Consider the following 14,046-nt stretch of genomic DNA (forward strand, 5'->3'; position numbering starts at 1 on the left):
GGCATAGGTGAGAAATAGCTGGAATCACATTATATAAATTGCAATGGGATATTTCTGTCCTGACTGACCATTATTGTTCTGCATATAAAGTGACTTTCTCAGGGTAGGTTTTTGTATGTGTGTGCATATGTACACATACACCACTAAAGAGGGAAATGAGTACCCAGATAATTTAAGCATTAAATAAATACACTAGTTTCTTCCAGGTTTAGGTATCACTACTTCCCTCCAAATCATATTATGCAAATGTGATAGTCCTACAGGTGAAAGATATCCCCAGATGTTAACTCAGGAGTTTATATAGCAAAACTACCTCCTCCTAACTTGTAAAATATTAGTTCAGTAAGAGATAGTCACAAAGTTACTCATATTGCAAATCTGTGCTCTTTGTGAGGGGTGGACTAGTTAAGTTTAGTTTTCCTGGCTGACCCCATTCCAGTCCACCTAAGCTCTCAGAACAGCAAAAAGCATTTGTCCCACTGACAGGTGGAATTAGTAGCATCTTCACATAGGAAGACAAGAACAAATCATACTTGCCTGGTATTTTCATAGCCTTCCAAGATCCACAAGACAGTGAACTGTCACCAATTACTACCCTATATTAAATATATAGGAAGTGTTTTCTTAAGAGAGAATATTTTTTATTATTGGAGGATTAGTAATCATGCTCCTTTGACCTACTTGGGAGCAATGCAAAAGAAAATGCAAGAGTAAGCTAGACCCAGAGAGAGACAGAAAGAGAGAGAGAGAGAGAGAGAGAGAGAGAGAGAGAGAATGCGTAGGGATGGCAGAAGAAATTGCAGCCAAGAAAGGGCTTTATAGCACAAAGTATAAATCTATCGGGTAAGACAACATATTCCATAAGAACCAGAAGGGCTAATCAAGAGCAAGCATATACCTATTTATACTTTTTAATTTACCTTTTAAAATAACCCTATTGAAATAATGTACATACCATGAAATACACTTGTTTAAAGTGCACAATTCAATGGGTTTTAGGAGGTCTATAGAGTTATGTGACAATCGCCATGATCTAATTTTTATCATCCCCAAAAGAAACCCCATATTCATTAACAGTTACCCCCATTCCATCCTTCTTTACTTCCCCCTCTACCACTCACAGTCCTAGGTATCCATTGATAAACTGATAAATGGTTACCTAGGACTTTCTTTCTCTATTGATTTGCCTCTTCTGGACTATTACTATAAATGGAACCATATATTATGTTGTGTTTTATGACGGACTTTTACTTAGCATAATATTTTCAAGGTTTGTCTATGTTATATATAACATGTATCAGCAATTCCTTTTTATTGCTGAGTAGTATTGCATTGTATGGATATACCACATTTTGTTTATCCATACATCAGTTGATGGACATTTGCACTCTTCCCACTTTTTGGCTATTAAAAATAATGCTACTACAAACATTTCATACATCTTCATATGTGGATATGTATGGTTTTTTTCTCTTGGATAGTATCGTTACACTGTTTTTCAAAGTGGTTGCACCGTTTCACATTGCTATCTGTAAAGTATGAGAGTTCTATATTCTCTATATCCTTGTGAGCACTTGTAAATATCTGTTTTTTTATTCTAGCCATCCCCATGGGTGTAAAGTGGGATGTCATAAAAGTTTCAATTTGCAGTTCCCTCATGATTAATGTTGTTGAGTATCTTTTCATATGTTTACTGACCATTTGGAGACATGTCTATTCAAGTCCTTTGCCTGTTTTTTAATTGGTTTGCTTATCCTTTTGCTGTTGAATTGTAAACATTCTTTAAGTATTCCATATACTAGAGTCTTTTTTTCTTTTGAGGCAGAGTCTCGCTCTGTTGCTCAGGCTGGAGTGCAGTGGAGTGATCTCAGATCACTGCAACCTCCACCTCCCAGGTTCAAGATATTCTCCTGCCTCAGCCTCCCGAGTAGCTGAGATTACATGTGCTTGCCACCACACCCAGCTATTTTTTATATTTTTTTTTTTAGTAGAGATGGGGTTTCACCATGTTGGCCAGGCTGGTATCGAACTCCTGACCTCAAGTGATCCACCCACCCTGGCCTCCCAAAGTACTGGGATTGCAGGCGTGAGCCACTGTGCCCGGCCCATATACTAGACTCTCATCAGAATATGATTTGCAAATATTTTCTCCTATTCTGTATGTTGTATTTTCACTTCCTTGATAGTTTCCCTTGGTGCCCCAAATTTTTAATTTTTGATGAAGCCTAATTTATCTTTTTTTTCCTTTTCTTGCCTTATATTTGGGTGTCAAATATCAGAATTCATTGCTATATTCAAGGTCATCAAGATTTATCCCTATGTTTACTTCCAAGAATTTTATTGTTTTAGCTATTACATTTAGGTGTTTGATCAATTTTGAGTTAATTTTGTATATGGTGTGAAATTTGGACTCCAACCTTATTGTTTTGCATAGGTATATCCGCTTGTCCCAGCACCATTTGTTGAAAAGACTGTTTTTTCCCTATTGAATGGTATAACACCATTGACCATAGATGTATGGGTTTATTTGCCAACTCCCAATTTTATTCCATTGATCTATATGTCTCTCCTTATGTTATTTAGTACCATACTGCTTTGATTACTGTAACTTGCAGTAAGCTTTGAAATTGGAAAGTGTGAGTTCTCCAACTTAGATTTTCTTTTTCAACATTGTTTGGCTATTAGGAGCTTCTTAAGATTCCACGTGAAATATAGGATCAACTTTTCCATTTCTTCAATAAAAGGCCATTGGGATTTTAATAGGGATTGCATTGAATCTATGGAGACAATTTTGGACCGTATTGCTATTTCAACAATGTTAAATCTACCTATCTATGAACAGGAAAACTTTTTCCATTTATTTGGGTCTTCTTTAATTTCTTTCATCAATGTTTTGGTGTACAATTTAGAGTGCTCTTGAAGGCGAATATGTATACTCCATAAAACTATACAGTAATTTTGTTACCTTTTTGTGGGCATCAAATTGTAACCAAGTAGCTTCCCCAAAAATATACTGTCTGTGCTCTTAAATTGTGGTTATGGCATTTTTTATGACAAATACAAATACTTGAGTGTTCTTGTTAACTGTGGCATCGTTACTTTTTTGTGTTTTATCATTATAGTCCAACATGAAGAAACAACATATATTGCAATTGCTTTGAAATCATCAATTCACCTTTATGCATGGGCACCAAAGTCCTTTGATGAAAGCACTGCTATTAAAGTGAGTGAGCTCCTTTTTCTTTGGATTATATGATTTTTTATTTTGAGAAGAAATTGTGAACAGAATCGTACCTTGGAATACAGATGCAGAAGTATATACCATTCTTCTATAGTTAATGAAATTTTGTTGTTAGTTTGCTTGCTTGTTTGTTTGTTTATTTTTTAGATACAGGGTCTCACTCTCTCACTCTGGCCCAGGCTAGAGTGCAGTGGCATGATCATAGCTCACTGCAACCTTGATCTCCTGGGCTCAAGCCATCCTCCCACCTCAGCCTCCCAAGTAGCTAGGACTACAGGCATACATCACACCTGGTTAATTTTTTAATATTTTGTAGAGATGGGGTCTCACTAATGTAACTTGAATATACCATGTCAGTAATTACTGTTTAACCCTTTTTTAGACAATTCACAGGCATCACAGCAAGGGAGAATGCGAGGGAAATCCCTGGCCCCTCCCCTTATAGGACCTCCCCACCAGCGCCTCACTCCCAATTCCTGTAGTCAATATGAAGACCTTCTCTTTCAGAGCCTCAAACACAGGCTTTGGGTGCCACCCCAATAAATTGAAGCTGAGAAAGTCCCTGTTTTCTCTTAGTGGGGGATAGAGAGCAGAGGGAAGGTAAAGAAAGGTATGGTAATGATAGAGGGGGAACACCCTTGGAGGAAAAAGGAGGGAAAAGAAAGCCTTTGCTCCAGTTACCATGGCCACAATATGTGGGTATGGGAAGGGGTTGGATGAGTCTATATTCTTTCCAAGCTGGAACTCTAAACACATTTCTCTCTCTATCTATTAATATTGTGAGACATGGTGGTTAGGCTTACCAGTACTCTTTCTAACTTTATTACAGTTTGGCTGAACTTCTATGGATAGGCCACATAAATAAACAATTGAGTGTCTTAAACAACTAACCTTAAAATGAGGGACTGTTTTTATCTAGAGTAACTTACTTATAATGCTCCAGAATTCTACTTAAATGGAATTATTTTGTATTTATTCCATAGTAATGAGGGTTGACTAAAGAACTGGCAGCATTCTATCATGTCCAGTAGCTTCTAACCTAGGATGTATATCAGAATTAGCTGGAACATTTGGTAAAGGTTTAGATCTCAGACCCAACACCAGGCTGAATTAGTGGGTCTGGAGTAGGGTCTGGGAATTGATATTTTTAGCAGATGTTCCAGGTGATTTTTAACTAGTTGATCCATAGACAGGTTTTAACAAAGCACTGATAGGGACCCATCCTGACAGACGCAGCAAGGTATTCATGAAATACTTTTGTATCTTAAGTCAGGATCTGTTTACATGGTATATTTTGTAAGGGAACACATCACATGTATACAATAAAGATGAGCAAATTCTTATGACTACCTGCCAATGTCTATTTGCATAATAACTATGTTCTTCTATAAATTATACAGATGACTGTATATACAGTCTGAGTCAACCCTAAGACAAATCACGTCACATCCCTGATCTGATCTCCCTAAATTGGGCCTTGGTTCAGCTGTCAGTATTTGGATATGGGTTTATTCTTGGGTGTCTGCTGATTGGTCAGAGCTGCCTGGTATGGAGCTGGAAAGCGAAGAAATAAGTACCAACAGTCTGTCTAGCCTGATACACAGTTCTTGTCCAAGTCCTCACTGCAGTTCTTGACTCCCACCTCACAACTACAGTATGTTGAATCCTGTGATGCTCAGTCCTCTACCGTGATCTGATCTTGGCAATGAATCCTGTTTGGCCTTTTGTTTTGGACTAGAAACCATAGGAGCCTAGAGTACATACCCAGTATATGGTAGGTTAACATGTCTGGCCCTTTTCATTCCCTACCAAGTATGCATTGATCAATCAGCAGACTCTGAAGGAGACTACATGTCCTATCAAGCCTATATACGAATACTGGCAAAAATACAGGCAGCTGATCCAGTGAACCGGTTTAAGAGACCAGATGAGCTCCTTCATTTGCTGAAGCTCAAGGCAAGGAACTTGAAGACAGCAAACAGAATGCAGGGTCATACAAGGCTCTTATGATCATTGCCAATCTGACCTTTGAAGAGAAACTCAATATTTTGAAGCTATTGAACATAATTATTTCTTTGTTGTAATAACAGGTCTAAGAAAAACTGTAATACACAGGTCTCTAAATACAATATGCCATTTTAAAAATCCACCTGGGTTTTGTACACTTATAAACCTGACAAAAGAGTGAGGGAATTTTTGCCTTAGTTAGAATGTCATTTTTGGCCTTTTGGCCATATTTGGTTTTATATTCACAGGTATTTCCAACACTTGATCATAAGCCAGTGACAGTTGACCTGGCTATTGGTTCTGAAAAAAGACTAAAGATTTTCTTCAGCTCAGCAGATGGATATCACCTCATCGATGCAGAATCTGAGGTTATGTCTGATGTGACCCTGCCAAAGAATGTAAGATAACACCTTCAGATTCCTAGAAATTATTGTATACCACCATTTGAGTTTTTCCAACTGTCAAAACTCTGAAAGGTTTAAAAATATGATTAGTAATGTCTATACCGGAACTGAGACATAAAAGGTAAGTATAGAGTGCCAGAAAGTGGTCTTGCATAAACAAAAAACACTGATGATTCCTTAGTTTAGAAAGCTGAGTATATTCTGCAGATAGATTTTGCTTGTCTTGCCTAATTTTTTTTTATTTTTAATGAATAAAGTTTACACTTAAACTCTGGACTTCTATTGCTACATCAGAAGACCAGATAGCATCAGTGCCACATTACTATCTAGCCATTATCAATTGGAATGTATTCATTCATAGCTCCTTTTAGATGGGATATGTGCTCTACATTCTCTACCCATTTATGTTTATATATTTATAATAACTGACCATAAAGTGTATTTGATTTTGCAGTACTTGCTTTAGTTTTTCTGCACTTCACAATGCATTAACAAATTTTTAAAAAATACAACACCAGTATTGCAGCATTATTATGTGTATTCCTATTCTTTATTATATTACCTCAACAGTGACATAACAGCAAATTATCATAAAATGTTCTCTTATCTGGTTAATTATAGTTAGAATTTCTGATCAAAAGATTCAGCATTTTAAAAGCAGATACTCCTCAACTCTTAAATGCTTATATTTTGTGAAATACGGTGCAACACGCCTGTAATCCCAGCACTTTGGGAGGCCGAGGCGGGCGGATCACGAGGTCAGGAGATCGAGACCATCCCGGCTAAAACGGTGAAACCCCGTCTCTACTAAAAATACAAAAAATTAGCCGGGCGTAGTGGCGGGCGCCTGTAGTCCCAGCTCCTTGGGAGGCTGAGGCAGGAGAATGGCGTGAACCCGGGAGGCGGAGCTTGCAGTGAGCCGAGATCCCGCCACTGCACTCCAGCCTGGGCGACAGAGCGAGACTCCGTCTCAAAAAAAAAAAAAAAAAAAAAGAAAGAAATACGGTGCAACATCTAAAATATAGATTGTCATAAAAATATTATACACATCATTTACATAAAGAGTTTGAACATAATGTAATATCCCTCACACACACCATACAAAATATAATTCTACTGTGTCTCAAATTTGATGTTGGCAATGATGTTTGTCCTATTGAAATTTTTATTTAAAAGGAAGGCCTAAACCAACAGTTCTCTGCTTCACTATATTTAAATTCCCAATTTTTAGACAACCAAAGTTTTAGCAGTTTAGCATTATACAAAAAGTCCAGGAGAAAACTTTGATGTATTTTCAAATTACTACAGTTGTGTGATATTTTGAACAGCTCTCAGAATTGTCTCATATGTCTCTAACAAATTACATAAACCAATTGTCAGGACATTAGTGGGGACAATTTTGTAAAACTCTTTTGGTCATATTAAAGATAATTAGCTTATTACTCAGTTGTTGCCCATGATTATATAGAAATCACACTGTTGATAATGTATAAAATACTGAACCAATCTTAGCCAAAGCCACTTAAACGTGAGGTCAAGTTAATTTTGATATAGCTATTGTTGTACTCTTCAGTTGGAGTGTCTTCCGTAGCTTCCTGCATCTCTCTTTTTTTTTTAAATGTTGCGTCAGATAGCTTTTATTAAGAAGCTAGTGCAGTATTGAACTTTGCAGCATTGGTCCATGTTTACACTTATTTGAAAAGTAATTCAGGAATGTTGACCCGCGTGTTTCACATGATTAATAAGCAAGGAAAGTTATTTCCTTTTGAAGCAATTTGTTAGTTAGAGATGAGTTCTTAAAAATCACTTTCTGACCCAATTAGGATACCTTGTGTATATTCAAAAATATTTTTAGCTAAATACTCTAGTGTCTTGACCCATTTAAAGAGAAAGGACTCTAATATCAGGGAGGGGGGTGTCTTCTGAGAAAGAATATAATAAAAATACTATTTTTCCAAGAGTGCTAGATTACAAAAGCTGTAATGATACAAGGGAACCATGTGTGCTAAAGAATATCTAGTTACTTCAGGAATCATCTGAGAAGCATCTGAGGCTGTATGGATTTGCAGCAGTCCAGTTTTTTTCTAAACAGATTTTATTAAGACAACCTTCTTTCCTGCAATTTCTTTTACTCTCTTCCTTTATCTTTTTTTTCTGATTCAATTGCTCATGCAAGTGCCCAGGGAACGCATTAAAATTGCTTTTCGTCTCTGGATCCCCATTTTAGTTATAAGGATTGTTGTTGCTGGGACATGGCCTCAAGCACCTGGCCTGAGTACGCTGGGTTTGGCAAGTATAGTTTCTGACTTTTTTTTTTTTTTAATGTGCTAGTTTGAAGAAACCATAGAGGAACACAATTTTTCATTTGTAGGGAAATACTGTTAATGTGACAATATCTGTAGTTTAAGAAAACTTTATTGCATTGTTTTATGCATCATGAAATTTAGAAATGCTTAGATATTTCTTAGTTTTTCATATTATGTCACCAAATATGTCTTTGAATGTGTATCTTAAGTGCATTTGAAATTATATTAATTGGAAAAGAAATTCTAACTTTTTTGCAAAGGGGGAAATGACTTAAAGTTATATTTCAAGCTGTGAAGACTATTATAAAGCTGTCCCTTGTAAACATTTTAAGCTTAAGCTATTTTTTAGATTAGTTTTCTATTTCTAATTTGAGTGAGTTGGCTGATAAGCAAGTATTGTATATTTGTTATTTGATTTGTACATTAATTACTAAAGTATTTATTAATGTGTTATCTTAAACCCAAGTCTATAACAAGTAGTGTTTCTTCTATTATGATACATAATAATTTGTGAAATGTCAAGAAATCTCTTTGTGTTGGAAATACATCTTTGCTTTTTTAAAATAAGGCTTTCTCCTAATTATAAAGAAGAATATTTAACAGTTATGAATTTATGACATAAAGAAAGCAGCTCTCTTCAAATATTGGATAGCATGCTTATTACTTTGGAAATAGAGGTTTCTCTTCCTCCTTGCTCTTTGAACCTCTTTTGGTCTTTATTGCTCTGCCAAGCTGCTTCGATTAAAGTAGTAGTGATAAAATATTGGACATATAAATCTTTATGAAACATAATTCCAGCCCCTGGAAATCATTATACCACAGAATATCATCATTTTACCTGATTGCTTGGGAATTGGCATGATGCTCACCTTCAATGCTGAAGCCCTCTCTGTGGAAGCAAATGAACAACTCTTCAAGAAGATCCTTGAAATGTGGAAAGACATACCATCTTCTATAGGTATGTATACAATTTATTTCTTCTTCAGGACCCCAGAGAAAATTTACAAGGGTAAAAAAGTGTCCTAAGAAAAGATTTCCTGAATTATTACATTTTCTTAAGACACATAAGATTAGTTTGGGGTTCTGCATAATTATTCTCTTAGTAAGGTGATGCCTGTATTTGTCCTATGCTTAATGAATTCGTGAGAGTACCACAAAGAGACTCATTTTGGTTATCTGAGTTATTTGCAATATTGTATAACTGAAATGAGAGCTAATTCCTTTCCACAAAAATCTATAATTTTGTTTTAACTCCCTTTACTTGCAGACTTTACACAGATATTGGAAATGCTTCTTTTCATCACACTGATTGTGGGGTTTATCTTTATCTTAGGAGACTGCCAACTAGTATAAAAGAGCCAAATACTTCTATTTTTTATAGTCAGTAGAGTTCTATTTTGTGAGTGATATTCCTGTGAAGAATCAAATCATTTAGAAAAGTGACAGATATGACTGACTGGAGTGCTTGTTAGGTACCAACCACGTGGCAACAAAGAAAAATGCCTTTTCACCTTCATCAAACCAGGATATTTTTTTCTTCCTAGCCAAAGCAGGACTGCTGATCTGAGAAATCCAAATAATTTGAGATTCTTGTATATGTTCTGAGGCTCAGTGACCCCAGACGTGATTCTAGATAGGGAACATAATGCATACAAAAAGTAAATATATTAGAGAGAGTAGAATGATTAGCTGGAGGATAGCTATTATAGAAAAGAGAAGTTTAATGGAGAAAATAAAGGAAAAAGGCAGCAGTGTGTGTGTGTGTGTGTGTGTGTGTGTGTGTGTGTGTGTGTGTGTGTGTGGAGAGAGAGAGAGAGAGACTTAACAATTGCATCAGATATTACTAAGTGTTCCCATTTCCAAAACATTGTGTCCCATCTCAGAAAGCAAGCTAGCTCAGTAGCTAGGTTAAGTGGCAGATGTAGGTGTTTTGGGACTAAGGTGGAAATTATGCGATGTCATATGAACTATGTACTTGGACTCAGCAAAAAGCCTTTGCTTTAGGTTTAGAATTTTTAGTCTATGTTGTTGTTGACAACATAGAGACAGAGAGAGAGAGAGAGAGAGAGAGATGGTCTGTCAAATGAGAAGGCAGATGCTTCTGAGATCTCTATAAAATGACTAAATATGATCCTCATGTGGCTTTAAGGACCATTTTGAAAGAACTGCTTTTTAATGAACATTTTTTATATGGGATGATGGCACTTTGCATTGCATCTGCAGAATCCTTCTTCTTTTTTTTTTTTTCATATATAGTCAGTTTAAGGATTGTCCTGAAAACCTGCTCCAATTTCCTCAAACAAGTAAGAACTCACAGAGGTTTTAAAACCACTTTAAGTGACAGAAGATAAATGCTTACAGTATAATTGACAGATTCGGGGCAAAAGAAAGTAAAAATAATGACTCATGTTCTATCCTTTACAGTGGTACTTTTGTGATCGATATGCTAATCAGAAATGGTTATAAGGAAATTCAGTTCAAATAGGAAACTGAACAAACCCTTATATTTATGCCAGTAGACAATCATAAGGGTCAAAGGGATCTTGAGAAGTCATCTGGTGCAGCTCTTGTCCTCAGACAGGACAACTTCTGACCTAAAACAAAAAAAAGCTACTTTAAGTTGCTAGAATTTGAAAGACAGCTACACGTAAAATAAATTACAGTACTATAAGAACATGATACTTTAGTTTGTATATTAAGGATATTTTGAGAGTATGCTAAAGACTGTCATATAACACTGATATTAAGGAGATCAATTACTGTATTATTCTGTCTACAAACAACTGCTTTGTTATTTAAAACTAATTCAGATCCAGATTTCCCCAATTTAAATTTTATGTTTTCTTAAGTTATAATAAATGTGTTCAAATCATTGCTCTCCATTTCCAAACAAATATGTACAGGCTTAACAATTGCATCAGGTATTACTAAGTGTTCCCACTTCCAAATCATTGTGTTTCATCTCAGAAAGCAAGCTAGCTCAGTAGCTAGGTTAAGTGGCAGATGTAGGTGTTTTGGGACTACGGTGGAAATTATGCGATGCCATATGAACTATGTACTTGGACTCAGCAAAAAGCCTGTGCTTTAAGTTTAGAATTTTTGATCTATGTTGTTGTTGACAAAAATATCATTTTTAATAAAGTAGTCACATAGGTGAAGAAATTCAACTCTAGATAGACTAGATCTGTTACTTGTTCCCAACCCTCTGGAGACTGATTTTCCTTATTTCCCTTATATCTGGAGTTATTTTAATTCTAGTCTGAAATTTGACTTATAAAGTCTTCTTCCAGGATAACCATTTTTCTTAGTCAACTTATTCCTTTTATAATAGAAAAAATGAAAAATCAAAGTAATTAATTGAATTCTGATTTTAATCATGTTAATATGAGAATGAAGATGCCTTATTTTGTTGTTTCCTAGACTATTTTAATTTGAGTTTAAAATCTTGATATTATTTTAAATGTCAGGATTTTATTTACTTATGGAATTTTTCCCCATGAAGTACATAAAGAATATTAAATTGAAAGTTAAAAATGTAATAATAGTGCTGTTCCTTGTGTCAAAAAATACCTTGCAGCACCAGCTGACTGACTGTTTACACAATTAGGTTTAAGGCAATTATTGTCATAATCTATATTTGTCACAAAGTATTATAAAATAGAGTCAAAAAAGTTAAAATCTTAATAAATATTTCCTGAGCAGGAAAAAACCTTAAGAATATCAAATTAGCTTTGGTTCTGCTTACAACATGATAATTTATTGAATTGCATTAGGGTTGCTACAGTCATTATTTGAGCAAGTCATTTTTTAACTATTTTAATTTTTGAGAGTCAGGTTTTCATGTACGTCACTGGAGCACAAATATACACCCTTATTAGGAGCCCTTATTAGGAATGCTGTATGTCACTTAGACTATAAAATGAAGAGTGGCTGTGAGTAGATCACAATGTCTACAAATGGGATAGAATTAGTTCTTAGCTTTTTCTATGGTCTTAGAGGATATGAATACAAGAATTAAATAACTGAGACCTGGTAATTAAATGTTGATTACAATGGTGCCTTTAGATAGCCAGTTTGAACACCACTCTTGAGCAGCAAAATGGCCAAACAACTGACTACAGGAGGGAAAAACAGGATGTGCTAACCTGAACTGTAACAATGAGCCTCTTAATAAACAAACATTGACTGTAGTTATAATTTTCTATGATGGCCAGAAAGATTTTGTGTTTTTCTGATTTTTTTTCATTTGTATTGTAGCTTTTGAATGTACACAGCGAACCACAGGATGGGGCCAAAAGGCCATTGAAGTGCGCTCTTTGCAATCCAGGGTTCTGGAAAGTGAGCTGAAGCGCAGGTCAATTAAGAAGCTGAGATTCCTGTGCACCCGGGGTGACAAGGTATAGCTTACACCCTCCAGTTACAGCAAAAATAACGCAACCATTGAAAATGAACCAACAAAAGAAATTTCTGTCCTTTTCCTTCTGGCTATAAATATATTTGTGGTATATTTTTTCAAACTGGCATACTATTGATTAAAAAACAATTTTATATTTTGCAGTAGAAACGCTAATTTGGTAAGTGATGAAATTTGGTTTCAAAAGAAGCTCATTTTGAAAAAAATAAGAAAAAATTCTAGTTATGTCTTAAGCAAAGCTTAGCCATTATTTTATTTGGTTCGAAATCCTTTATTGTCTTTGATTCATAGTACCTTTCATGTTCATATTAAAATGATATTTTTAAACAAAATGCTTGAGCAAATCTGCCTTTTATAGCTTTCAACATAATTCAATAACAGAAGGAAAATGTACTTATGTTTACTGAGCACTTAATTGTATAGTAGGCCTTGTGCTAGATACTTTAACAGCTATCTCAATTGATCTTCACAAGTGGGTGTTATGATGTTTATTTTGCAGAAAATAAAAATAAAATCAAGATCTGGCAATTATTTGTATAATTTGATCAATTTTAACAACTAATTCAAATAGTTTAGATGGAAAATTTCATGGTGTAAGATTATTACCATTCCTACCTATTATAGGAAATAATAGTGTGAAGAAATAGTCCTAATAGGATTAGGAAACATTCATGTTGAGAAGAGATTGCAGAGGGTTTGAGTTAATATCAGAACAGCCAGGGTAAAGCACTGTATGTCAAGCAAAGTTGCCAACTTACAATGTGAAGAGATGAAATGGCAAAAACCTGTGTTTCAGGTCAGCGAGACCTAGAATGCAGTCCTGGCTCTAACCAGGACTAACCAGGTTAGAGAACCTGAGAAGTTTGATTAATCTTTCTGATCCTTAGTTCCTTCATCTCCAAAATAGAAATATTAATAACTGCTTTGGGAACAATTGTGACAACTAGTCATATCTGTAAGCATCTCACAGATTGCCTGTAACATCAGATATGTTAAGTCAAGAATGACTAGCATATCTTTTAAAAAAATTACAATGTTGTCTCTTTATTATGAGGTAAAATACTTACTATGAAATGTAAAATGCTGTTTTCATATACACTTAAAGCCCTGCATCCCCCTCTGTATAGAGCAAACTCTGTAAAGGTTTATGAAGATTTTTATTTAATTGGGTATAAAGCAGATCTTAGAAGAGTTAAGCGAGGGCATTTTAAATTTTATTTAACTCAGTATAATCATATAATTTTTTCTTAAAAGATTATTTGTTTTCTTGATGACTACTAACCGAAGTAACTATGATTGCTGCCTTTGTCTAATAATATTAAATATTTTTAATATTTAAATTTTAATAATTTCAAATATTATCTTTTATCAAGCAAAATGTACAGTTACATACACTGTAAGCTCACAGTATCACAAATTAGAGACTCCCTGCTTCCCTTTGTCACACCTAGTGTATCTTATCATCATCATTATGTCACAAAATCTCCTAAATATAGCCACTGTGGATGTCAAAAGCCTTAGTCCTAACAAGGAGACATTTGTTTGATATTTATGTGCATATTTTGTTATAATTTTCTTTATGGTACAGACCACATTTACACAACATGTCCCTCTCTAAGCCACTGGGTTTAACTCATTTTATCAATCTATTGATGTCCATTTTGCTGAGATAGA

The 14,046-nt window shown here is 35.0% G+C and overlaps 1 protein-coding gene and 1 long non-coding RNA gene across 7 annotated transcripts in view; one reads left to right on the top strand and one right to left on the bottom strand.

Moving 5' to 3' along the window:
* NRK (Nik related kinase) overlaps positions 1-14,046 on the top strand; it is a 136,825-nt gene that overhangs the window by 119,033 nt on the left and 3,746 nt on the right. For 2 of the 5 annotated variants that reach the window (XM_011530887.4, NM_198465.4), the window contains exons 24-28: positions 3,123-3,223; positions 5,054-5,197; positions 5,497-5,646; positions 8,757-8,916; positions 12,216-12,355. In XM_011530887.4, the coding sequence (XP_011529189.1) occupies positions 3,123-3,223; positions 5,054-5,197; positions 5,497-5,646; positions 8,757-8,916; positions 12,216-12,355 (695 nt within the window). The remainder of the gene's footprint in view (positions 1-3,122; positions 3,224-5,053; positions 5,198-5,496; positions 5,647-8,756; positions 8,917-12,215; positions 12,356-14,046) is intronic. The other 3 variants (XM_006724632.4, XM_006724633.4, XM_006724634.5) reach the window with 3 other exon arrangements.
* LOC105373304 (uncharacterized) overlaps positions 6,650-14,046 on the bottom strand; it is a 60,450-nt gene continuing 53,053 nt past the window's right edge. Inside the window, exons 2-3 of one of the 2 annotated variants that reach the window (XR_938495.3) lie at positions 10,458-10,552; positions 6,650-8,980 (exon numbers count right to left, since the gene is read on the bottom strand). This is a non-coding gene — a long non-coding RNA (uncharacterized LOC105373304). Of the gene's footprint in view, positions 8,981-10,440; positions 10,553-14,046 lie in introns of those variants that run through there. The other variant, XR_007068301.1, reaches the window with a different exon arrangement.

The sequence above is a fragment of the Homo sapiens genome, chromosome X (genome assembly GCF_000001405.40).
Source record: "Homo sapiens chromosome X, GRCh38.p14 Primary Assembly".
In the NCBI taxonomy this organism is placed as follows: domain Eukaryota; kingdom Metazoa; phylum Chordata; class Mammalia; order Primates; family Hominidae; genus Homo; species Homo sapiens.